Source organism: Homo sapiens, chromosome 1 (genome assembly GCF_000001405.40).
Source record: "Homo sapiens chromosome 1, GRCh38.p14 Primary Assembly".
In the NCBI taxonomy this organism is placed as follows: Eukaryota; Metazoa; Chordata; class Mammalia; order Primates; family Hominidae; genus Homo; species Homo sapiens.
Window position 1 is genome coordinate 225,265,427 of NC_000001.11, and position 24,082 is coordinate 225,289,508.

At 36.5% G+C, this 24,082-nt stretch overlaps 1 protein-coding gene across 26 annotated transcripts in view, besides 2 other annotated features; it reads left to right on the top strand.

Annotated features, from left to right (window-relative positions):
- Positions 1–24,082, top strand: part of DNAH14 (dynein axonemal heavy chain 14) — a 469,633-nt gene that overhangs the window by 335,773 nt on the left and 109,778 nt on the right. For 24 of the 26 annotated variants that reach the window (XM_011544062.3, XM_011544067.3, XM_017000296.2 and 21 more), the window contains 6 exons: positions 1,215–1,343; positions 5,309–5,440; positions 6,480–6,647; positions 7,529–7,699; positions 10,488–10,655; positions 11,984–12,076. In XM_011544062.3, the coding sequence (XP_011542364.1) occupies positions 1,215–1,343; positions 5,309–5,440; positions 6,480–6,647; positions 7,529–7,699; positions 10,488–10,655; positions 11,984–12,076 (861 nt within the window). The remainder of the gene's footprint in view (positions 1–1,214; positions 1,344–5,308; positions 5,441–6,479; positions 6,648–7,528; positions 7,700–10,487; positions 10,656–11,983; positions 12,077–24,082) is intronic. The other 2 variants (XM_006711735.4, XM_011544064.3) reach the window with 2 other exon arrangements.
- Positions 8,167–8,367: a silencer, noted in NCBI's record as "peak726 fragment used in MPRA reporter construct". NCBI's record gives its function as "represses an SCP1 promoter by STARR-seq MPRAs in K562 erythroleukemia cells {active_cell/tissue: K562}" and the evidence as "EXISTENCE:reporter gene assay evidence [ECO:0000049][PMID:32103011]".
- Positions 15,247–15,447: a silencer, noted in NCBI's record as "peak727 fragment used in MPRA reporter construct". NCBI's record gives its function as "represses an SCP1 promoter by STARR-seq MPRAs in K562 erythroleukemia cells {active_cell/tissue: K562}" and the evidence as "EXISTENCE:reporter gene assay evidence [ECO:0000049][PMID:32103011]".

A 24,082-nucleotide genomic window follows, 5' to 3' on the forward strand; every position in this document is an offset into this window, starting at 1 on the left:
ATTTTAATTAATACTAATCAGAAGAAAAATATTTGTGTAACACACATTTTTGAACATCATAGAAGATGCAATGTATAACAGAAACTTTGATTTTCAGATCAATATTATTTTATTTCCAATATGTTGAATTATACTGATTCAGAATTATTAAGGCCAAAAGAAGCTACTGAAATCTTGCTAAAGAGAAGTAGACTGGAAAATGGGTTAGATGCCAACTGTTTTGTTACTGTATATTCTACCACACTTTCTTCCTGTGACCATGGCTTGGGACTCTAAGAGTTTCAATTCAATTTCAGGAGCTTTTAAGGGTTTGCTTCAGATTTCCTTGATTTTAAATGAAGACACAGATAAACTTGGTCTTTGCCTACATAGGTAAACTTTAGGGATTTTGAAAAGGTGAATAACTGAGGAACCTAATCATACCAATAGAAAATGCAAGCAAGAGAAATTTCAGATAGTTTGTGATACAAAAGGGGAGAAACTGAGTGTCTTAATAAATATATATATATATATTGACAGTTACAAATTAGGTAATTACATAATTCCAAACATATGTCTATTTGTGGGTTTTTTACGTTGCTTCTTTTGCAAAAATAAATACAGTCTAAAGGAGCTAGTGCACACAGAGATTACAATCAGTACACTTCAATGCACAATATTTTCAAAGGTGGACATTAACACAGGTTTAAAATTTGGAAATGTGTCTGAATTTTCTGCTTGTTGTTCATAACAACAGCATTTGCAGCAGAATTTTTTAAGTCTAGTTCCAGATGATAGCCTTATTCCTAAACCAGGGTGCATATGGAATAAACAGCTAAATACTACAATAGTGCCTTGCCAATAGTAGGCACTCAGTAAGTAAATCTTGAATGAAAAATAGCCATGTTCCTGTGTAATAGCCATAAATATATTGCTTTATCCAGCATCAAATACATTTCTAACTATTGTCAGACATAATTATTATAGATCTATAGAAGGTGAATAGAGTGTCTGCTATTTTGAAAACTTACTGTTTTTAAAAATCATATCTTCCAAATAGAATTCATTCTGCTGTTTTTAAATAGGAAATCAGACATGTTATTACATATGATTTTGTGCTTACTCCATAGCATAATATTCCTAATTTGTGCTTACCCCAACCATAATATTCCTAATTCATAATTTAAAGAAAGGTGTACTAATATATATGTTTAAAACCTTTTGTCTTTCTTAAGATTCTAATATTTATTGATGATATGAATATGCCAGTATCAGATATGTATGGAGCACAGCCACCCCTGGAATTGATAAGACAATTGTTAGATTTGGGAGGAGTTTATGATACTGAAAAAAATACATGGAAGGTACAGTATATACTAAGATTTTGTTCACATTAAGTATTATTTCTCACACTAAATTAAATGTTTATAACAATGTTGAGTGAATTGCTTGAGAAAGTTAGAAATTCTGGCCATATGGACATGTTAAGCAAAGTTGAGACCCTAAACTAACTATATTAATCATATATTTGCAATGTAGGTCCATAGGTTTATAGAAATCCTACTTTTAATAGGTTTAAATCTTAGTAAAAATTGCATGTATGTCCTCAAGATTTGGTTTCTGAGTCAAATAATGCTCATTATTGTTAACTGCATCAGTAGTTAATCAAACTTTTCCATGCATCAAATTTTAGTTAGTTGTGAGAAAAGCCAGTGAAAATATGGCCCACCAGATGCATCCTTAATGTCTATATAAGATTACTCTACATCTTTATCTTAAGATCACAGATACAGCATTTTAAGGAATATCACAGTCAAAAAAAATTCCCAAGGTGGTATTTCTGTGCAATTATTTTTGTTACATTGAACCTAAATCAGAATGGCTTCCTTTTTTTTTTTTTTTTTTTTGAGATGGAATCTCGCTCTGTCACCAAGCTGGAGTGCAGTGGCACAATCACGGCTCACTGCAAACTCCGCCTCCCAGGTTCACACCATTCTCCTGCCTCAGCCTCCCTAGTAGCTGGGACTACAGGCGCCCACCACCACGCCCAGCTAGTTTTTTGTATTTTTAGTAGAAACAGGGTTTCACCATGTTAGCCAGGATGGTCTCGATCTGACCTCGTGATCCGCCTGCCTCGGCCTCCCAAAGTGCTGGGATTACAGGCGTGAGCCACCATGCCCGGCCAGAATGGCTTACTTTTTAAACAAATATAGAAATTCAAATGCACTTTTCTCTCTGTTCAGGTCCTTCTCTGGAAATCATAAGCCCTATATTTCAGAACTGACTGCCACTTAAACTTTCTAGGCCTCAGATTCCTCATCTATAAAATTAAGTGGTTGCATTACAAATGGTTTCATGTCTCAGACAAACTTGGGCCCAGGATCCTGAATAAGGCAAACTGGCATGTGAGCGCTATCAGGTCAGACGTCAGTCAGACTGAAACAACCCTCAAGCCAAGGCAGAGGGGAAGAATCCAGGTATGGCCCACCAGGGATAATCCAGGAGACTAGAAAAAAGAGAAGGCAGGAAATAGGGTCTGGAATGCCCAGCCTGGACAATTCCCTGAACTGACCAGAAAATAGGTCACAGTAGGTCTTTTATGGGATTGCTGTGGCCTTGAGCCTGGGTATAAGCAGGAACAAAGGCTGGCCATTCTAGAGACACACTCAATTGGCTCTTCTGATTTCTCACTTATAACCAGAAGCCTCTTTGCTAACCTCAATAACATATTGCTTATTTTTTAATGATTGCTCTTTTTGTTTCGTTTTGTTTTTAAATCAATAAACGTAATCCATCATATAAACAGAGCCAAAGACAAAAACCACATGATTATCTCAATAGATACAGAAAAGGCCTTTGACAAAATTCAACAACCCTTCATGCTAAACACTCTCAATAAATTAGGTATTGCTGGGACATATCTCAAAATAATAAGAGCTATTTATGACAAACTCACAGCCAATATCATACTGAATGGGCAAAAACTGGAAGCATTCCCTTTGAAAACTGGCACAAGACAGGGATGCCCTCTCTAACCACTCCTATTCAACATAGTTTTGGAAGTTCTGGCCAGGGCAATCAGGCAAGAGAAGTAAATAAAGCGTATTAAATTAGGAAAAGCAGAAGTCAAATTGTCCTTGTTTGCAGATGCATGATTGTATATTTAGAAAACCCCATCGTCTCAGCCCAAAATCTCCTTAAGCTGATAAGCAACTTCAGCAAAGTCTCAGGATACAAAATCACTGTGCAAAAATCACAAACATTCCTATACACCAATAACAGACAAACAGAGAGCCAAATCATGAGTGAACTCCCATTCACAATTGCTTCAAAGAGAATAAAATACCTAGGAATCCAACTTACAAGGGATGTGAAGGACCTCTTCAAGGAGAACTACAAACCACTGCTCAACGAAATAAAAGAGGACACAAACAAATGGAAGAACATTCCATGCTCATGGATAGGAAGAATCAATATTGTGAAAATGGTCATACTGCCCAAGGTAACTTATAGATTCAATGCCATCCCCATCAAGCTACCAATGACTTTCTTCACAGAATTGGAAAAAACTACTTTAAAATTCATATGGAACCAAAAAAGAGCCTGCATTGCCAAGACAATCCTAAGCCAAAAGAACAAAGCTGGAGGCATCACGCTACCTGACTTCAAACTATACTACAAGGCTACCGTAACCAAAACAGCATCGTGCTGGTACCACAACAGAGATATAGACCAATGGAACAGAACAGAGCCCTCAGAAATAATGCCACACGTCTACAACCATCTGATCTTTGACAAACCTGACAAAAACAAGAAATGGGGTAAGGATTCCCTATTTAATAAATGGTGCTGGGAAAACTGGCTAGCCATATGTAGAAAGCTGAAACTGGATCCCTTCCTTACACCTTATATAAAAATTAATTCAAGATGGATTAAAGACTTAAATGTTAGACCTAAAACCATAAAAACCCTAGAAGAAAACCTAGGCAATACCATTCAGGACATAGGCATGGCCAAGGACTTCATGTCTAAAACACCAAAAGCAATGGCAACAAAAGCCAAAATTGACAAATGGGATCTAATTAAACGAAAGAGCTTCTGCACAGCAAAAGAAACTACCATCAGAGTGAACAGGCAACCTACAGAATGGGAGGAAATTTTTACAATCTGCCCATCTGACAAAGGGCTAATATCCAGAATCTACAAAGAACTCAAACAAATTTACAAGAAAAAATCAAACAACTCCATCAAAAAGTGGGCAAAGGATATGAACAGACACTTCACAAAAGAAGACATTTATGCAGCCAAAGACACATGAAAAAATGCTCATCATCACTGGCCATCAGAGAAATGCAAACCGCAAGGAGATACCATCTCACACCAGTTAGAATGGCGATCATTAAAAAGTCAGGAAACAACAGGTGCTGGAGAGGATGTGGACAAATAGGAACATTTTTACACTGTTGGTGGGACGTAAACTAGTTCAGCCATTGTGGAAGACAGTGTGGTGATTCCTCAAGGATCTAGAACTAGAAATACCATTTGACTCAGCCATCCCATTACTGGGTATATACTCAAAGGATTATAAATCATGCTGCTATAAAGACACATGCACACGTATGTTTATTGCAGCACTATTCACAATAGCAAAGACTTGGAACCAACCCAAATGTCCATCAATGATAGACTGGATTAAGAAAATATGGCACATATACACCATGGAATACTATGCAGCCATAAAAAAGGATGAGCTCATGTCCTTTGTAGGGATATGGATGAAGCTGGAAACCATCATTCTGAGCAAACTATCGCAAGGACAGAAAACCAAACACCGCATGTTCTCACTCATAGGTGGGAACTGAACAATGAGAACACTTGGACACAGAATGGGGAACCTCACACACCGGGGCCTGTTGTGGGGTGGGGGGAGGGGGGAGGGATAGCATTAGGAGATATACCTAATGTAAATGACGAGTTAATGGGTGCAGCACACCAACATGGCATATGTATACATATATAACAAACCTGCACATTGTGCACATGTACCCTAGAATTTAAAGTATAATAATTTTAAAAAACAGGACCATTTCCTGATGACATTTAGAAAGCCTTCAAGAAATAATGTATCTTGAAATTATATTTTAGGATGGGTTATTTCTAAGATAGATTTCTATTACCACTGTAATCTTTGTTTTTGCAATAAATAGTAATTAAATCTTTTTGTCTAAATGTTTTTAAATGTTTTGTCCAATTTGGGACAGAGACGTAGGTACATACTTCACTTCCTACAGATACATTCAGTTACTCTTCCTTTTTATCCTTATCACAGAATATTCAAGATCTGTCTATAGTTGCAGCTTGTGTTCCAGTTGTGAATGATATCAGCCCACGTCTTCTCAAACACTTTTCCATGCTGGTATTACCTCATCCTTCACAAGACATCTTATGTACTATTTTCCAGGTAACACATCTAGTTCATTTTCTACTGAAAAAAATTAATTCCCTAGAATAAGGAAAAATACGAGAACTTAAATCCACTAATATTGAAAGAAAATTACTTTAAGGGGATAGATTTTATTTCCCCGTATGTTTTCTGGCCTATTATAATTTGGTTCTACATATCAAAAGCATAAGTTATTGTGTGTAAAATAAACACTTGTGGTGCATGTCCAATGCACGTTAAAATGTAGATTTTAGGACTTTATCCTCAGAGATTCTGATCCAGTATATCTGGCCTGGCATGTAGGAATCTGCATTTTTAACACACATACCCTGATTTTTGCCAGAATTGATTTGCTCTTTTCATTTTCTTATGGAATAAAAAAATGCTACACAAACTATTACCTTGGTCCCAGTTGGCATACAGGTAGACTTTCTTCTAAAACAGGATTTTTTTTCAGGTGCGAACTATTTACCAACTGTATCAGAATTACCAAGTGCTTTTTGAAAACTTGAGTTTAAAAATGAATCTTTAAATTTTATATTAAAGAAGAAAACAAGATTCATGTTGATGAATTTCCTAATCTTGCTTAAGATTTATTTTTCTAGTCACACTAGATTTCAAGTTGAGTCATCTTTCCAGTAAGATACTTCAGAATTTTTCGAAGAATGTATACCTGTATCGTCAGTCCAGACTGAGGTAATAGTTTTGTCAGTTTACACTTCCCATAACATCTCCTGGAGAGCAAGGAGATGAAAGAATTCCCAGCACACCTGGTATATACAGAGGTGAAGCATAAATTGTCCCCAGAAAAAATGTATCACATCCTTTTAGACCATTCAAGAGACTAGCACCAAGTGGAATTTTCTCCAGTTTGCAACCCCTAGAGTGTTTTGTTTTTACTAATCTACCATCCTATGTTAAATGGATTTTAATTTTAACATTTAATGAAATTAATCCTCCATTATAGTACACAAGTCCGCTTTTTAGTGGAAGGTAGCCAGAAGTAGTCTATACCTCAAATTTTTGGCAAGCTAAATTATAACATTTCTTTTTAAAGGCTCATTTGGGAATTTATTTCTCCATCAATAACTTCACACCTGAAGTTCAGAAAAGTAAGGATCAGATAATATCTTGTTCCCTAGCTATATACCATCAAGTACGTCAGAATATGTTACCAACTCCAACAAAATGTCACTACATGTTTAATCTTCGAGATATGTTTAAGGTTTGTTTTAATGTTCATTCTCTAGTTTATTTTTTAAATATAAGTTGCTCTCTCTCATACTGTCAACATTAGATTGTTAGAAGGGGAAAAAAGGGAAATGAATGTTGGTTAGTTTTGCTATTAGCAGCTTATCTCATGAGTTAGTTGAAGAAAAAATTGTTAAAATAATTCCGTGCAAATAATTCAATGATGAAATCCCTAAGAGTGTTAGAATATTGGCTAAGATCCTCAGCAGAGAAATAAGTGACAAGGTTATAACATAGATTTGGTGTTTGCTTTATTTCTGAGATTTTATTGTGGCTGTCAGAAAATGAAAGCATGTATGCATTTCATAAACATGCTTGAATTTTAACAGATTTTGCCAACAGTGCTGACTTAGTTATCAGCCATGGCCAAATAATTTTCAAAATTGAAATGTTAAGAAAATCAATTCTTGAATTTGATACCTTTCTCCCCTAACTGTGGGACTTTAGCCCTAAATAGCACATGTAATCTGTGAAATGGGCTATAACATTTTTAATCCAAATTTAGAATGTTAAAACATATAAACATTAGGAAGTACCTCAGTATCACGTGCAACACCCTGCCTCCATGTTAGCACTGTAGTCGAGACTCCCATCCTAGCAAGGCCTCCATTAGATGTGGCTGAGGAGTCCCCAAGTCCCCCTCCCTCTAAGAGTGATTCCATACCAATTTTCCCTATCTTATCACTTTCCCATCTCATCAAAGCTTCAGATTATCACTTGTAGAAATTCACAATTCTTACCTTGGATAATTGCTTCTATTTTTATGGATCATAAACCTGCAAAAATTGAGCCTTCGCTTCACATACTACCCTGCTAATTTTTTTTAAAAAAACGTTATTTTTAAATCCCTAACAGCTTCTCCTAGGATTGCTGCAAGCTGACAGGACTGTTGTTAACTCCAAAGAGATGGCTGCTCTGCTCTTTGTTCATGAAGCCACCCGAGTATTTCACGATCGCTTAATTGATTTCACTGATAAAAGCCTTTTCTATCGGTTGCTTTCAAGGGAACTTGAGAACTGTTTTCAGGTAAATTTATATTTTAAAAATTATTGGCCGGGTGTGGTGGCTTACGCCTGTAATCCCAGCACTTTGGGAGGCCGAAGCGGGCAGATCACGAGGTCAGGAGATTGAGACCATCCTGGCTAACACGTGAAACCCCGTGTCTACTAAAAATACAAAAAAATTAGCCGGGCGTGGTGATGGGCGCCTGTAGTCCCAGCTACTCGGGAGGCTGAGGCGGAGAATGGCGTGAACCCGGGAGGCGGAGCTTGCAGTGAGCCGATGAGCCGAGATCGCACCAGTGCAGTCCAGCCTGGGCGACAGAGCGAGACTCCGTCTCAAAACAAAACAAAACAAAATTGTTTTAAGTGGATTATTGGGCAAAAAATGTTGTTTCATGAAAGTCCTCAAAAATTTATATAATACTGAAAGAAATGTAATTTTATTAACAATTCCATTTCCACTTGAAAATGTCTAAAACTATAGATATGCTGGAGAGGATAAAATCATCATTGATGCCTTTGCCCATGCTTTTGGCCCCTTAGCAACCTCAAAACTGTTCATTTTTCTCCAGGACTCACAGAACTGTCCACTGTCTTGATACCTCAACAAGACTCCTCATCCTTCTCCGTCTCTTTGAACTTTAGTTTTCTTACTGCCTGTCTTTTAATCTAGGTCACAAAGGAAAGTGTTTCAATAAACTGATCACACTAAAAGAATGTGACTGAATGGAGCAGTGATCTAGGCTCCATTACTAGAATTTTTTGCCGTCTCCTTTCAAGAGAATTAAGGAGAACATTTCCTTCCCAAAGGTGGACTCTTTTCTTTTTCTGTCTTCTCTGGTGGTGCCAACTTCATTCTTCTCATTAACAGAAGCCCAGGAAATATGAACATGTGTGCGAGTGTGTCTTTATGATAAAACGATTTATATTCCTTTGGATATATACCCACTAATGGGATTGCTGGGTCAAATGGTAGTTCTGTTTCTAGAACTTTGAGGAATCACCACACTGTCTTCCACAACAGTTGAACTAATTTAAGTTCCCACCAACAGTGTGTAAGTGTTCCTTTTTCTCTGCATCCTCACCAGCATCTGTTATTTTTTTTTTTTTTTTTTTTTTTTTGAGACGGAGTCTCGTTCTGTCGCCCAGGCGGGAGTGCTGTGGCGCGATCTCTGCTCACTGCAAGCTCCGCCTTCCGGGTTCACGCCATTCTCCTGCCTCAGCCTCCCGAGTAGCTGGGACTACAGGCGCCCGCCACTGCGCCCGGCTAATTTTTTTTGTATTTTTAGTAGAGACGGGGTTTCACCGTGGTCTCGATCTCCTGACCTCGTGATCCGCCCGCCTCGGCCTCCCAAAGTGCTGGGATTACAGGCGTGAGCCACCGCGCCCGGCCGCATCTGTTATTTTTTGACTTTTTAGTATTAGCCATTCTGACTGGTGTTAGATGGTATCTAATTGTGGTTTTGATTTGCATTTCTTAAAGAGAGCTTATTACTATCTTGGGAGAAGTTCCCAAACTCCCTATAAATGCCAACCATAATTCAGTTTTGAGACTTAACCAGACTAAGAAATAGATATAGAGGCAGTAGAAAATGAGCAAGCAAATACTTACGGAATTGGGTCCTGCCCTAGCAGGGGTCAGTCCTATGGACAGCAAAGGCAACTACAGTACCCCAAATTCAAGACCATATGGACCAAATCTTTCTTAAGGATGTAAGGATTTAAATTATTCCTGTGAGAATTTCAGTTTATACAATATCACTTAATCGGTCAGTTGATTGACTTAAAAAAAATAAAACTCTAATAGTTAATACAATGTGCCAAGCACAGTGTTAAGACATATCATTACTCACTTTACATATCATTATTCACTTTAATCTTAATTCATAACACCCTATGATATAGGTCCTGTTATTATCCTGATTTTACAGATGAAGAAACCGAGCAGAGTAAGATTAAGATCTCACCTAAGGTCACCCTGCTAGTTAAGTGGTGGAGTCATTATTCAAACCTAGGATATCTAATGACATATATTTTCGAATTATCATACCATACCACCCCTCAATCTTCATTTAGCCATTTGCGAAACAAACATCTTCTAAATGCCTATCAGGAATTCCCAGTGCCAGACAGCAAGTGGGATAAGTGCTGAGGACTACCTAGGACTAGTATGGACCCTGCCTCCAAGCACATTACAACCTAAGAAGTGCAATGCATTTCTGTCAGTGCTATAACGTCAGTGCTGTGACAGACCTATGCACACAATATAGTGGTGGAACAAAGGAGGAAGGAGTAATTTATTCTACCTGATTTTAGGGGAGAGGGAGATGGTCAGACTTCAAATAAGAGGTAGCCCATGACCTTGGTGTGAAAGATAAGCAAGAATTTGCCAAGTAAACCAGGAAAGGACATGTGGAAACTTGCAGAACTGTAGTGGTAAACTAAGGGAAGATTCTTTTTCTCAGACTGTTGCTGGAACTACAAGATATTTCTAGCAACAGGAGTTCTTAACCTGGGATCCACAGACCCTCAAAGCGTTCTTAAATAAAACCATATTCTAATATATTTGGGGGTTTTTGGTAACCCTTATATTTTGATATATGCATTTTAAAATATTATTTTGAGAAAGAGTCCACAGGCTTTCTAAACCTTTATAAACCAAGAGGAGTTTATAGCACAAAAAAAGTTAAGAACACATTAGTCCTAGATCCACTGTGCCAGGAGCTTCTCCAACACAGATATATGCTGTGAGTTTTGATAACAAGTAGAATTGTGCTATTAATGGATAGTGTTAAATTCTTATCTTACAATAGATTCAGTGGACCCAAGAAAACCTGATGAATCACTCAACTGTATTTTTGGACTTCTTGGATATAAACAAGACTCATAGAAAAAAGATTTATCAGAATACCAGTGACTATAATAAACTTGCCAGTGTACTTGATGAATTCCAAATGAAGTTGGGTTCAATTTCTTTGGAGGTAAACATATATACTATATAAAAATCTGAGGAGTGCTATATATGTATATATTTATTTATTTTTACATACAAACATCTATGTATATCAAATCAGTATTTTTAAGGGGTGTGTGTGTTTGTGTGTGAGAGAGAGCAAGAGAGAAAAAGAGAGAGAGAGGGAGAGATCAGGGGAAAATGCTTACCTTCATATTTTAAAGCAGAACATTAGAAGTACAGTTTTATGTTATTTCATCTTATTTGTCTCATTTGATAGGGTATAATTTTAAAGACAAGGTACACAACTGAGGTTATAGGAAGTTGAATGAATAGAGTTCATGAAGATAAATGCAAAACAGAGTGTAGCAACAGGGTCCAAAGTAGCAACAAAGGACAGCAAAGTGGTTGTGGCTCTTTACATCTTTCCCATTGTTGTGGGCAAAGATGTGTTGGAACAGAGACACCAACAAAACCACATACACTGTAAACCAATTTTCTGCATCTCTTTCTCCTACCACTTATCCTACTTGCCAAGACAGAACAATAGAAAAGCAACCTGGGCCAGGTGTGGTGGCTTGTGCCTATAATCCTAGCCCTTTGGGAGGCTGAGGCAGGAGGATCACTTGAGCCCAGGAGTTTGAGACCAGTCTGGTCAACATAATGAAACCCTATCTCCACACACACACACATGCACACACACAAAAATTTAATTAATCAGGCATTGTGGTGCCAGTGCCTGCTTGTAAGTCCCAGCTACACAGGGCTGAGGCAAGAGGATTGCTTGAGCCCAGGAGGTCGAGGCTGCAGTGAGCCGTGATTGTGAAACTGCACTCCAGCCTGGATAACAGAGCAAGACCCTGTCTAAAAGAAAAATAAGAAGAAGAAAAAGGAAGGAAGGAAGGAAGGAAGGAAGGAAGGAAGGAAGGAAGGGAGGGAGGAAGGAAGGGAGGGAGGGAGGGAGGGAGGGAGGGAGGAAGGGGAAAGGAAGGGAAGGAAAGGAAAGGAAAGAAGGAAGAGAAGGGGGAAATGGCAAGGGGGGAGGGGGAAAGGGGGAGGGGGGGAGGGGGACGGGGAAGGGGGAAGGGAGCCTAAATACTATTGTTTGCCTCTTCATTCTCTTCTCTCAATTCTACCACCACCCTTCTAATCTACTCACAAGAACATTAGCATAGGGACAATCCTTATTGCACAAATTTACTTTCCCTAAATGTTAATGATAACCAGCTTACTAGATCTAGAGCTCTGGATTACTAGTTATTCTCCTTTCTGTAAGTAAATTGTATGTAAAACCACAATGCACGTTTGATTTTTCTGTACCTATAATCCATTTATTTGTCACATTTGATCTGCTAGCTTTCTCATTCCATGGTGTTCTTCAAGGAAGCCATAGAACACATCATAAGAGCAACAAGGGTTCTTCGACAACCAGGGAGTCACATGTTACTGGTAGGAATTTAAATTTTTCAAGTGGTTTTAAGTTTACAAAATAAAATAAATCCCAATAAAATCTACTGTACTTACAGAAGTTTTATTTAGCCACACTTTGTGAAAAATCACAATAACTGAGTCATAGGGCAGGACTCTTGTCCTCTCTGCAGTTTGCATATGAAATCTGTCAGCAAATAAAAATGGTATTTGTTTTTGGAAGGCACTTGATGTGAATAAAACTGCACCATTTCTAGTGTTCGCAGCATTAATACAGTAGCTGTGCAGATGGATCCTGACTTCAAAAATAGTGCGCTTACTTGATTATTGATTTAGAAATGTGAGCTTTTGCACAATGTTTTGCTTCTCATGAGAACAAGCGGGAGTTAAAATCTTGGAAAATTCCCCAATATACTTTGAATAGAGAAAATCTTTTGGAAAATTAGCTAAAATTCAACATATTTAGCCAATTACATAAAGCATATTAATTATTTTTATTTAATTTATTATTTATGACTAGTTGTTTATTTTATACTTTATTTATAACTGTTTGGTTAATTTGTGCACTTTTCTCAAAAAGAATTTTTTTTATTCAGAACAGCTAGAGCTTTATTTAAACACTTATTTAAACTTGTGTTTAAATAAAACACAAGTTTTATTTAAACAGACATATGCAACAAGATTAATTAAAAGGAACTAAAAACTGGAAAATAGAATCAAGAAAAAAATATGAAGCAAATCTTTCTAACACCAAAACTATTCTTTTACTAACCTAACTCATAAATGGTATCACCATATATCCACTGGTCTAGTCAGAAACCTGGGAGTCACTCAGTTTTGTCACTTTTTCATCACTTGTCACATTCAATTCATCAAGAAGCCCTGGTGATACAACTTGAAAAATGTATTTCAAACCTGCATATTTCTCTGCATCTCCACAGCCACCACGCTATTTAAGCCACTGTTATCATCACCTGGACCACTGTGGTTTTCTCTGTTCCCTAACGCACCTCTTTTCTTCCCCTCAGTCCCTATTAGTCTGTCTCCTTATTCTGCTTTATTTTTCTTTCTGGTCCTTAGCCTTATCTTATATAATATTACACATTAATTTTTCATTTATAATCATCTGTCTCCACATTTAGAACATAAGCTCTACAAGGGCTATGATTTTTGTCTGTCTTATTTCAATTATTAACAGATTATTTTTCTATTCCTAAAGTGTATATGCTCTGTTTAGTTATTTTACCACAGTGACTCTTTTCTTTAGCATGTCTTTTCTAGCAAGAGGTACATTTACCTATTGCTCAATTCTAAAATGCCTGAGAATGTATTCAGAGCAGTTTTCAAAAGCCTACACTCAACTGGAATCTGGCCTTAATAGTTTCTCTGTAGATGTGTTATCACAAACCTATCTTCCCTCTCAGAGCCCCTATTAAAAATAGAAGGTAAAACATGGCAAATTCCTGATTCCTCTGATCCTATTACTGTTGGGGTTTTTTTGTTTGTTTGTTTGTTTGTTGTTTTTGTTTTTTTAGATGAAATTTCACTCTTGTTACTCAGGCTAGAGTGCAGTGGCACAATCTCAGCTCACTGCAACCTCTGCCTCCTGGGTTCAAGCAATTCTCCTACTTCAGCCTCCTGAGTAGCCTCCCAAGTAGGGATTACAGGTGCCTGCCACCACACCCACCTAATATTTTGTATTTTTAGTAGAGACGGGGTTTCACCATGTTGGGCAGGCTGGTCTTGAACTCCTGACCTCAGGTGATCCTCCCACCTTGGCCTCCCAAAGTGCTGGGATTACAGGTGTGAGCCACCACACCTGGCCCCCTATTACTATGTTTGCCCAATTAAACATTATAAATAGATCTTTTTCATGGGTCAAGGTGACACTAGGGTTTAATTTTGCATAACAGTAATTTAACTGAAGGCTAGTCTAGCATGTGGAGCTTCTGCAGGGAGAAGCAACTGGAGGGAGTGTAATGACTTAATTAAGAATATTTAAGACAGAGAATAAATAATAAAATAATGGTTATCTAGATTGGACAGTTCAAATGAGATCAGTTTAATTCAGTAAAAAAGTAAAAGAAGAAATTGTACATGAATTTTAAAAGTAAATATTACATAGTTCAATTGGATTACATTGTTGAACTACCAGAACTACCAGAGGAAAACAAGAAAACTAATATTAATTAGTATTTCAATTTAAGGCATTGGTTTAAAAGATTATTGCATACAATCTGTCACATAAATGTTCAGTTTTTAACAAAAATTACAAGACATGAAAACAGATAGGGAAGTGTGAGCTATACATGGGGAGAAAAAGTAGTTAATAGGAACTGTCTTGAAGGGGATCCAGATGTTGGGCTTGGCAGATATCCGAAATACAGCTCTTGTAAATATACTCAAAAAGCCTAAAGGAAAATATATATTATTATTTATATTAATATATAAATTAAAGGAAAGCATACAAAAATGACTCTTCAAATAGAGAATACCAATAAAGGGATATAAATTATTTTACAAATTGGAATGTCTGGGATTCAAAATTAAAATAAATGAGATGAAAACTTCACTAGAGGAGCTCAACAGCAGATTTAACATGGCAGAAAAGAGAATCCACAAACTTAAAAATAGATCTATAAAATTTATCTACACTGAACAAGAGAAAGAAAAAAAATGAAGAAAAAGAACATCAAAGACCTAAAAGACACTATCAAGTGTATCAAAATATGCTTAATGGGGCTCCCAGAAAGAGAAGAAATAGAAGGGGGCAGAAAAGATTTCATAGAAATAATGCCCCAATACATTAATCTTCACATCCAAGAAGTTCAATCACAGCTGGGTGCGGTGGCTTACACCTGTAATCCCAGCACTTTGGAAGGCCAAGGCAGGTGGATCATGAGGTCAGGAGATCAAGACCATCCTGGCTAACATGGTGAAACCCCATCTCTACTAAAAATACAAAAAATTAGCCGGGCATGGTGGTGGGTGCCTGTAGTCCCAGCTACTCGGGAGGCTGAGGCAGGAGAATGATGTGAACCTGGGAGGCAGAGCTTGCAGTGAGCCGAGATAGCGCCACTGAACTCCAGCCTGGGTGACAAAGTGAGAGTCCATCTCAAAAAAAAAAAGAAAGAAAAAAAGAAGTTCAATCACAGCTCAAGAAAGTCTAAGAAGAGTAAGCACAAGTAGATTAAAGTAGATTAACACCTAGACACATCATAGTCAACCATTCAAAGACAAAGAGAAAATCATGAAGGCAGCAAGAGAAAAACAACTTCTTATGTACTAGGAATTCTCAATAAGATTTACAGCTGACTTCTTATCAGACACAATGGAGAACAGAAGGCATTGGAGCAGCATATTCAAAGATAAAAGGAGGAAAAACCTCAAAAATTTTATGTTCAAGAAAACTATTTTAAAAATGAAATAAAGATATTTCCAGATAAACAGCTCTGATAATTTGTTACAGAAAATACTAAAGTAAATTTTTAGGGTGAGGGTGAAAGACACTGATGGTAACTTAAATCCTTGTGAAGAATAATGAGCACCAATAAGAGCAATTACATAGGTAAATATAGGGCCATGTGTTCATTTTTTACTGCCTATGAAACACATTGCAAATATGGCAACTTAAATTTATTATCTTACAGTTTTGCAGGTCAGAAGTATGACATGAACCCACTGGGCCAAAATTAAGGTATAGGTATGACTGCATTACTTTCTGGAGGCTCTAAGGGAGAATCTGTTCCTTTTCTTTTACTAGCTTCTAGAGTCTTTCTGGATCCCTTGGCTCATAACTGCCTTTATCCATCTGTAAAGCCAGCAACATCACATCTCTTTGACCCTTCATCAGTCATAACATCTCTCTCTCTCTCTCTGATCAAAGCCAGGAAAGATTCTCTGCTTTCAAGGACTGATGTGATTTAGACTGGGCCCAGCCAGATAATCTAGGATGATCTCACCATTTTAAGGTCTTTAATCTTAATCATGTCTGCAAAGTCTCTTGCCATGTAATATAACATATTCATTGGTTCCAGAGATCATAATGGGGACATATTTGTGGGGAATGGGGGTGGCAGATGCATTATTCTGCCTACCACAGACTATGTAAATATATTTTTCTTCTTTACTCTTAACTACTTTAAAAGATAATCAGATGAAATGATAATTCTAAAACTATTGTCAGGCTTATAATATATAAAGATGTAATATATGTAACAATGAATAGCACAAAAGAGGAGGGAGGAAATGGAGTTATGTTGAAGAAAACTGTCTATATTTTACTGGAATTATTAGTATTAATCTAAAATAGATTGTGATTAAAAATAAAAATAAAATAAAATAGATGTGATAAGATACATAATGTAATTCTGTTATGCAAGGTGAACAAGTTCTGGAGAACTCATGTACAGTATGATAATGATAGTTAACAACACTGTATTATATACTTGAAATTTGTTAAGAGGGTAGATCTTAATATTCATACACACACACACACGACGGTAACTATGTAAAGATAGTGGATATTTTAAGTAGTGTGATTGTGATGATCATTTAACAATGTACACATATATCAAAACATCAAGATGTACACGCTAAATATATGTGTAGTTTTTATGTCACTATCATCTAAATAAAAATGCTAAAAATGCTCAAGGAAAAGGGATAGTTTAACTGTGAACCCAAGCAAGTCAGGGCCAAACACACCGATGGCAGACAAGTTTCAAAGAGAACTGAAGGAAAGCAGACCTGCAGGAGGTCCATGAGCCAGAGTTCCAGGCTTGGGACAGCTATGAAGTTTTGGGCCTGGCTGTGGTCTGGGCCCCCAGCCATCAGGCCTGATTCAAAGCCATCAGGCCCCTTCTTCTATACGCATTTTAAGGGAATCTTTAGCTTCTTTTCTGTGGAAAGTTCCCATAGAGTTATCAGAGCTTAGACCCTGTCCAATGCTGGAAAGGAAGCTTGAACAATTTTATCTTAGTTTAGGTTCCCCCATAAGAAGGCCCCGAGGCAAGTATTCAATGTTAACTTGAGACATGGTCCCAGAAAGCAGGTAGAGGAGTGAGAAAGTGAGACACAGAAGAGATGGTAATCAATACAGGGTGCATGATCAGGCCAGTTACTATTGTTAGCAACTGGAAGTTAATTACATAAGGGAATCTCAGGAAATGCTCTAGGAAATGTGCCTCAGAAAGATGAGAGGGCTGAAGTATTTGGCCCATCTATGCAGCAATTTCAGTCAGCCATTACTGAGGGTTGCTAAGGGAGAGTTTGATAGTTACTGCAGGGGCAAACATAGAGATGCAGATACTGGTTGATCAACTTTTCATTTGTTTATTGATCATTCGGGTCTTCTCTTCAGTGAATCATCCATTCGTGTGCTTTGCCCATTTTTCTATTAGGTTATCTTTTTCTTATTGATTGGTAGGAGTTATTTATATATTCAGATACTAATATTTTCTTCATTATATGTGTGGCAAATGTAATTTTCCAGATTATGGTTCATCTTTTTACCTTATGATATCATTCAATAAATAGTTATTATTTTTAATGTAAAAAAATTAGAAGAGAACTAAAAATATATATAATAAAAAAGCCAAGAAAACGAAGATAGAGCTCTGGAAAATATTTATTTAACACAAAAGAATGGAGAAACAAAGGGAAAAAAAATGAGACATATGGAAAATAACAGTGTGGCAGACAAGCCCCAAATACAAATGCATTAAAAACTCCAATAAAAATACAGAGATTATAAAACTAGATTTTTTAAAGAACAAAATCCAACTATATGCTATCAACAAAAGCCACACGTTAGATTCAAAGATCCAAAATGGCTGAAAATGAAAGGATGGAGAAAAATAATCCATGCAAACAATTACCACAAGAAAGTTGGAGTGGGTATACTAATATCAGGCAAAGTAGACTTTCAGGAAAAAATTAAGTGTTCTGAGACCAAAAAGAAAAAAAAAAAAGACATGCTATAATGATGAAAAGATCATACATAAGAGTTATAAACATATACACACCTAAAAACTTAGTGCCAAATACATGGAACCAAAACCGACAGAATTTAAGGGAGAAATAATCAATTTAACAATAATAGTTGGACACTTCAATACCTTCACTCTTAATAATTGATAGAGAAACTAGACATAAAATCAGCAAGGTTACAAAGACTTCAACAGTATAGTAAAACAACTTGAACTAATTGACATGATAGAAGACTCCACTAACAACAGCAAAACACATATTCTTTTGAAGCAAACATGTAACATTCTTGAGGAGAGACCGAATGCCAAGCCATAAAACAAGCCTCAGTAAATTTCAAAGGATTGAAATCATACGAAGTATGTTCTTTGACCACAGTAGAACTAAATTAGAAAGTTTCCAACAAAAGGAAAGTTGGGATATTAATAACTATGTGGAACTTTTACAACGTACTCCTAAATGGGTGAAAGAAGAAACTGCAGAGAAATTAGAAAATACTTTGAGATACATGGAAACAAACAAAAACATAATATAAAGATGTTCTTTAAGAGAAATCTATAGCTATAAATACTTATATTTAAAAAGAGCAACCTCAAATCAATAACCTAACCTTCCACCTTAGGAAAATACCAAAAGGAAAGAAAACCAAACCCAAAGCATGCAGATGGAAGAAAATAATAAAGATTAGAGAAGAAAGTAGAGAATATAAAACCAGTAGGGAATACCAATAAAACCAAAAGTTGGTTCTTTGAAAAGATCAACAAAATTGACAAGTTCTTTGCTAGACTGACCAAGAAAAAATGAAGAAAAGACTCAAATTATTAAAATCAGGAATTAAAGAGGGAATATTACTATCAATATTACAGAAATTAAAAAAAGATTATAAGAGAATACTATGAACAATTGTATGCCAACATAGTAGATCACTTAGATAAAATGTCTTTCCTAGAAATATATAAATTACTGAAACTGAAGAATTAGAAAATCTAATAGAGCAGTAACAAATAAGGAGATTTAATTAGGAATTTAAAAACTTCCCACAACAAAAGCCCAGAGCCAAATGGCTTCACCAGAGATTTCTACCAAACATCTAAGGAAGAATTAACACCATTCCTTCACAAACCGTCCCAGAAAATAGAAGAGGGAATACTTCCCAATTCATCTATAAGGTCAGTAACATCCTAATACCAAAACTAGACAAAGTCATCATGAGAAAAGAAAACTACAGGCTAATATCCCTTATGAATATAGTGGAAAAAAATCTGAACAAAATCTTAACAAACCAAAACCAGCAACATATAGCAAGTATTATACATCATAAACAAGTGAGATTTACTGCAGGAATGCACATTTGGTTTAATATTTTCTAAAAATCATTAATGCAATATATCTATTAATGGAATTAAAAGCAAAAACCACACAATAATCTCAGGAGATGCAGAGAAGCACGACAAAATCCAACACCATTTTTTTTTACTCTCAGCAAAAAGGAAAAGAAGGAAGCTTCAGCAACCTAATAAAGAGCTTCTGTGAAAAACTTACAGCTAGCCTTATGCTTAACAGTGAAAGACAAAATGCTTTTCCCCTAAGATTGAGAACAAAGCAAGAATGTTTTGCCTTACAATTTCTATTCAACACTATACTAGAAGTTCTAGCCAGTGCAATTAGGTAAGAAAAAGTGGGGAAAGGGCATCCAGATTGGAAAAAATAAAGGGAGCAAGCCCATCCTTATTCACATTCCACATGATCCTGTTTGTGGAAAATCCTAAGGACAAGCAACCCAATTAAAAATAAACAGGCCAGGCATGGTGGCTCATGCCTGTAATCCCAGAACTTTGGGAGGCCAAAGTGAGTGGATCACTCGAGGCCAGGAGTTTGAGACCAGCCTGGCCAACAGGGTGAAACTCCATCTCTACAAAAATACAAAAATTAGCTGGGCATGGTGGCACACACCTGTAATCTCAGCTACTCAGGGTGACGCAGGAGAATTGCTTGAACCCAGGAGGTGGAAGTTACAGTGAGCCAAGATAGCGCCACTGCACTCCAGCCTGGGTGATAGAGCGAGACTCTGTCTCAAAAAAGAAAAAGAAAAATAAACAGATGCTGGCCCAGTGTGGTGGCTCATGCCTATAATCCCAGCACTTTGGGAGGGCAACACAGGAGGATTGCCTGAGGCCAGGAGTTCAAGACCAGCCTGGGCCACATAATGAGACCCCCTTCTTACAAAAAAATAAAAATTTAGCCAGGTATGGTGGCATGTACCTGTAGTCCCAGCTACTCAGGAGGCTGAGGCAGGGGGATCACTTAAGCCCAGGAATTCACGGCTGCAGTAAGCTGTGATAGCACCACTGCACTCCAGCCTGGGTGACAAAGTGAGACCCTGTCTCAAAAAAATAGAAATAAATGAAGAAACAGTTACCTTGTTATGGCTGAATTTTATTGTACATATATACCACATTTCCTCTATCTGTTCTTCTGTTGATGGACATTTGGCTTATTAGCTCTTGTGAATAGTGCTGCAATAAGTGGCAACATGGAAGAGCCTGGAAGGCCTCATGTTAAGCAAAATAAGTTAGGCAAGGAAAGAGAACTACTGCATGTTCTCACTCATGTGAAAACTGAGAAACAAAATTCGAACTCACAGAAGTAGAGAGTAGAATTATGGGTATTAGAGGCCAGGAAGGGGAGAGGAGGGGAGAAAGGGAGAGTTTAGTTAATTAATACAAAATTATAGCTACATAGGAGGAATGAGTTCTGGTGTTTTGCAGCACTGTAGGCTGAATATGGTTTACTATAATTTATTGAATGTTTTCAAAATGCTAGAGGAGAGGATTTTCAATGTTCACAACACAAAGGACAATGTTTGAGGTGATTAATGTATTTACTCCAATTTGATTATTATACATTATATGTTCATATGGAATTATCACTCTGTATCCCATAAATATGTACAATTATCACATCAACTAAAAAATAAAAGGAAAAAATAAATACCTTACAAAAGCATATGAAAAGGTGCTCAATATCAGTTGTCATTAGGGGAAACAATAACGAGATACCACAACATCCCTATTAAAATGACCAAAACCCAAAGAACTGATAATAGCAATTACTGACAAGGATACAGAGCAATAGGAACTCTCATTCATAGCTGGTGGGAATTGAAAATAGCACAGCCACTTTGGAAGACAGTTTAGCAGTTTCCTACAAAGCTAAACATAGTCTTGCCATATGAGCCAGTAATCATGCTCCTACACATTTACCTAACTGATGTGAAAACTTACGCCCACATAAAAACCTGCACAGGAATGATTATAGCAACTTTATTCATAATCACCAAAAACTGGAAGCAACCAAGATTCCTTCAATAAAGCAAATGAATAAACACACTGTAGTAGTACATTGATACAATGGAATATTATTAAGAGATAAAAAGAAATGAGCTCTCAAGCCACAAAAAGACATGGGTGAATTTCAAAGGTATATTGCTAAGTGAAAGAAGTCGGTCTGGAAAGGCAACATATTATATGATTCCACTTATATGACATTCTGGAAAAGGCAAAACTATGGAAATGGTAAAAATATTTGTTGTCTAAGGGTTTGGTGGAAAGAAAGTGAAACACAAGATATTTTAGGATGGTAAAAATTCTGTATACTATAATGGTGAACACATGACACTATATATTTGTCAAAGCCCATAGAACTTGATGACACAAAGAATGAGCCTTAATGTTTACAAATTTAGAAAAAAAAGTCATTTTGGAGGTCTGGTAATCCCAGGATGAAATGCAGAATGTGAAAGAAAAATCAAACCATGTTGCAAGTGTGTGACACAAACTCACTGAAGAGGATTAGGGGAAAAGGAGCCAATATAAAAAGTGGTTTGGGGGTAAAGTTAACCATTCCAATACCACAATACACATATACTGGAGTTGAATAATGAAGTAAATGGATGGCAGATGTTGGAAACCAGTTTTCTCACTATTGGAGGGCAGAGCTAAACAAGGGAAAGAGACTAAAATGATCATGTAGTAACAGAGTTGGAGACATAAGTTAAACTTATTTTTAGCTTAAAATAGGTGATTGGATATAGAAATTTTATAGGAATGTGTGTCTATAAGGGTTAGTATACAAACATTTATTTATTTGCTGTGTCAGCTGGGAGGGCTTACAGGCAGTGATCTCCAGTAGCAATGAGTACACCTAGCTCCCAGATCTTGGTTTCTAATACCATTCTCCAATAAAAGGAACCAGGACTCCTTGGGAAAATTGCTGATTATAGGACTGGGACAGGAAATATACAATATGAGCCTGGAGAATCCTGTAGTGCTACAAGTGAAGTGCTAAAATAATCATGGGGTTATGTCAGAGGGACACAAGAGCCAACTAAAAGAGTTCACAGTGGCCAAAGCTGGAGCAAGAAAACAAAGAAATAAAGTGGTATTAAATAATAATCCAAAGTGTATAATAAATATCCATGGGCCCATACTTATATAAATAAATGACTAAATAAATAAGTAAATGAGGGAGAATAGACAAATCTCCCATTCAGAAGATATCCACATAATGTACGTAGGTAGTCTACCCTCAAGAAGCTGGGCATAACTCCTCACTCCTTCACTGAGGGCTGCACATAGTGACGTTCTCCCAAAGAGTACCATACAGGAAGGGGGAAAAAAGAGTAACTTCACAGTGGAGAAACCTGACAAACACCGCCTTATCTAGGTGATCAAGTTCACCAACAAAAATGATAAATCATGGTGAGTATAATCATGAGAAAAACAGCAGGAAAATCCTAGTTAAGTGACATTCCATAAAATACCTGATCAGAACCCCTTGAAACTCTTAAGGCCATCAAAAATAAGGAAAGTGTGAAAAACTGTCACAGTCAAGAGTAGCTTAAGGAGATTTGGCTGCTAAATGTAATATAGTATCCTGGAAGAAATTCCGAAGGAGAGAAAAATTATTAGGTTAAAAACTAACAAGATCTGAAAAAAGTATGGACTTCAGTTAATAATAATATATCAATTTTGGTTCATTAATGGTAACAAATGTAATATACTAATGTTAGATGCTAATAGGGGAAATTGGATGTGGATATATGACAGTTCCCCATACTATCTTGGCAATTTTTCTGTGAGTCTAAAACTCTTCTAAAATAAGTTTATTTTTAAAAATAGACAAAAGATTTGAATAGATGTTTCACAAAAGACGATACCTGAATGGTTAATCAGCCCATGAAAAGATGTTCGGCTTCATTAGTCATTAGGGAAATGCAAATTAAAACCACAATAACACTAAACACCCACTTGAATGGCTATAATCAAAAAGATAGTTAATAGCAATCATTGACAAGATTGTGTATAAACTGAACTTTCATACAGTGCTTGTGGGAATGTAAAATAGTACAACTACTTTGGAAAATGGTTTGGCTATTTCTTATAAAGTTTAACATAGATTTACCACATAATTGAGCAATTCCATTTCTCTGTCTCTACACAAGGGAAAATAAAACAAGTATCCACTCAAAGACTTGTATGGAAATGTTCATAGCAGCATTATTCATAATCAAGAAGTAGAAACCATTCAAATGTTCATCAATGGATAAACAAAATGTGATATGTCCATACAATAGAATACCATTCAGCAATAAAAAGGAACAAACTACTGATACACATACAACATGAAAGAACTTATTATGCTAAGTAAAATAAATCAGATACATTAGACTTCATGGTATATAATTTCATTTATATGAAATGCCAAAAATAGGCAAATCAATAGAGATGAAAACATATTAGTGATTGGGCCTGAGAGTTGGATGGTGATTGACTGCCAGTGGGCTTGAAAGATCTTTTTGGGGTGAAGGCAATTGTTCCAAAACTGAATTGTGACAAGGGTTGCATAAGTCTGTAAATGTACTAAAAAGCATTGAATTATCCACTTAAAACAGGTATAAGCTGTAAATTACACCTAAATAAAGCTGTTTTTAAAACAATACTTACTTTGCCATTATTCCCCAAAAGCATTTATTAAGTA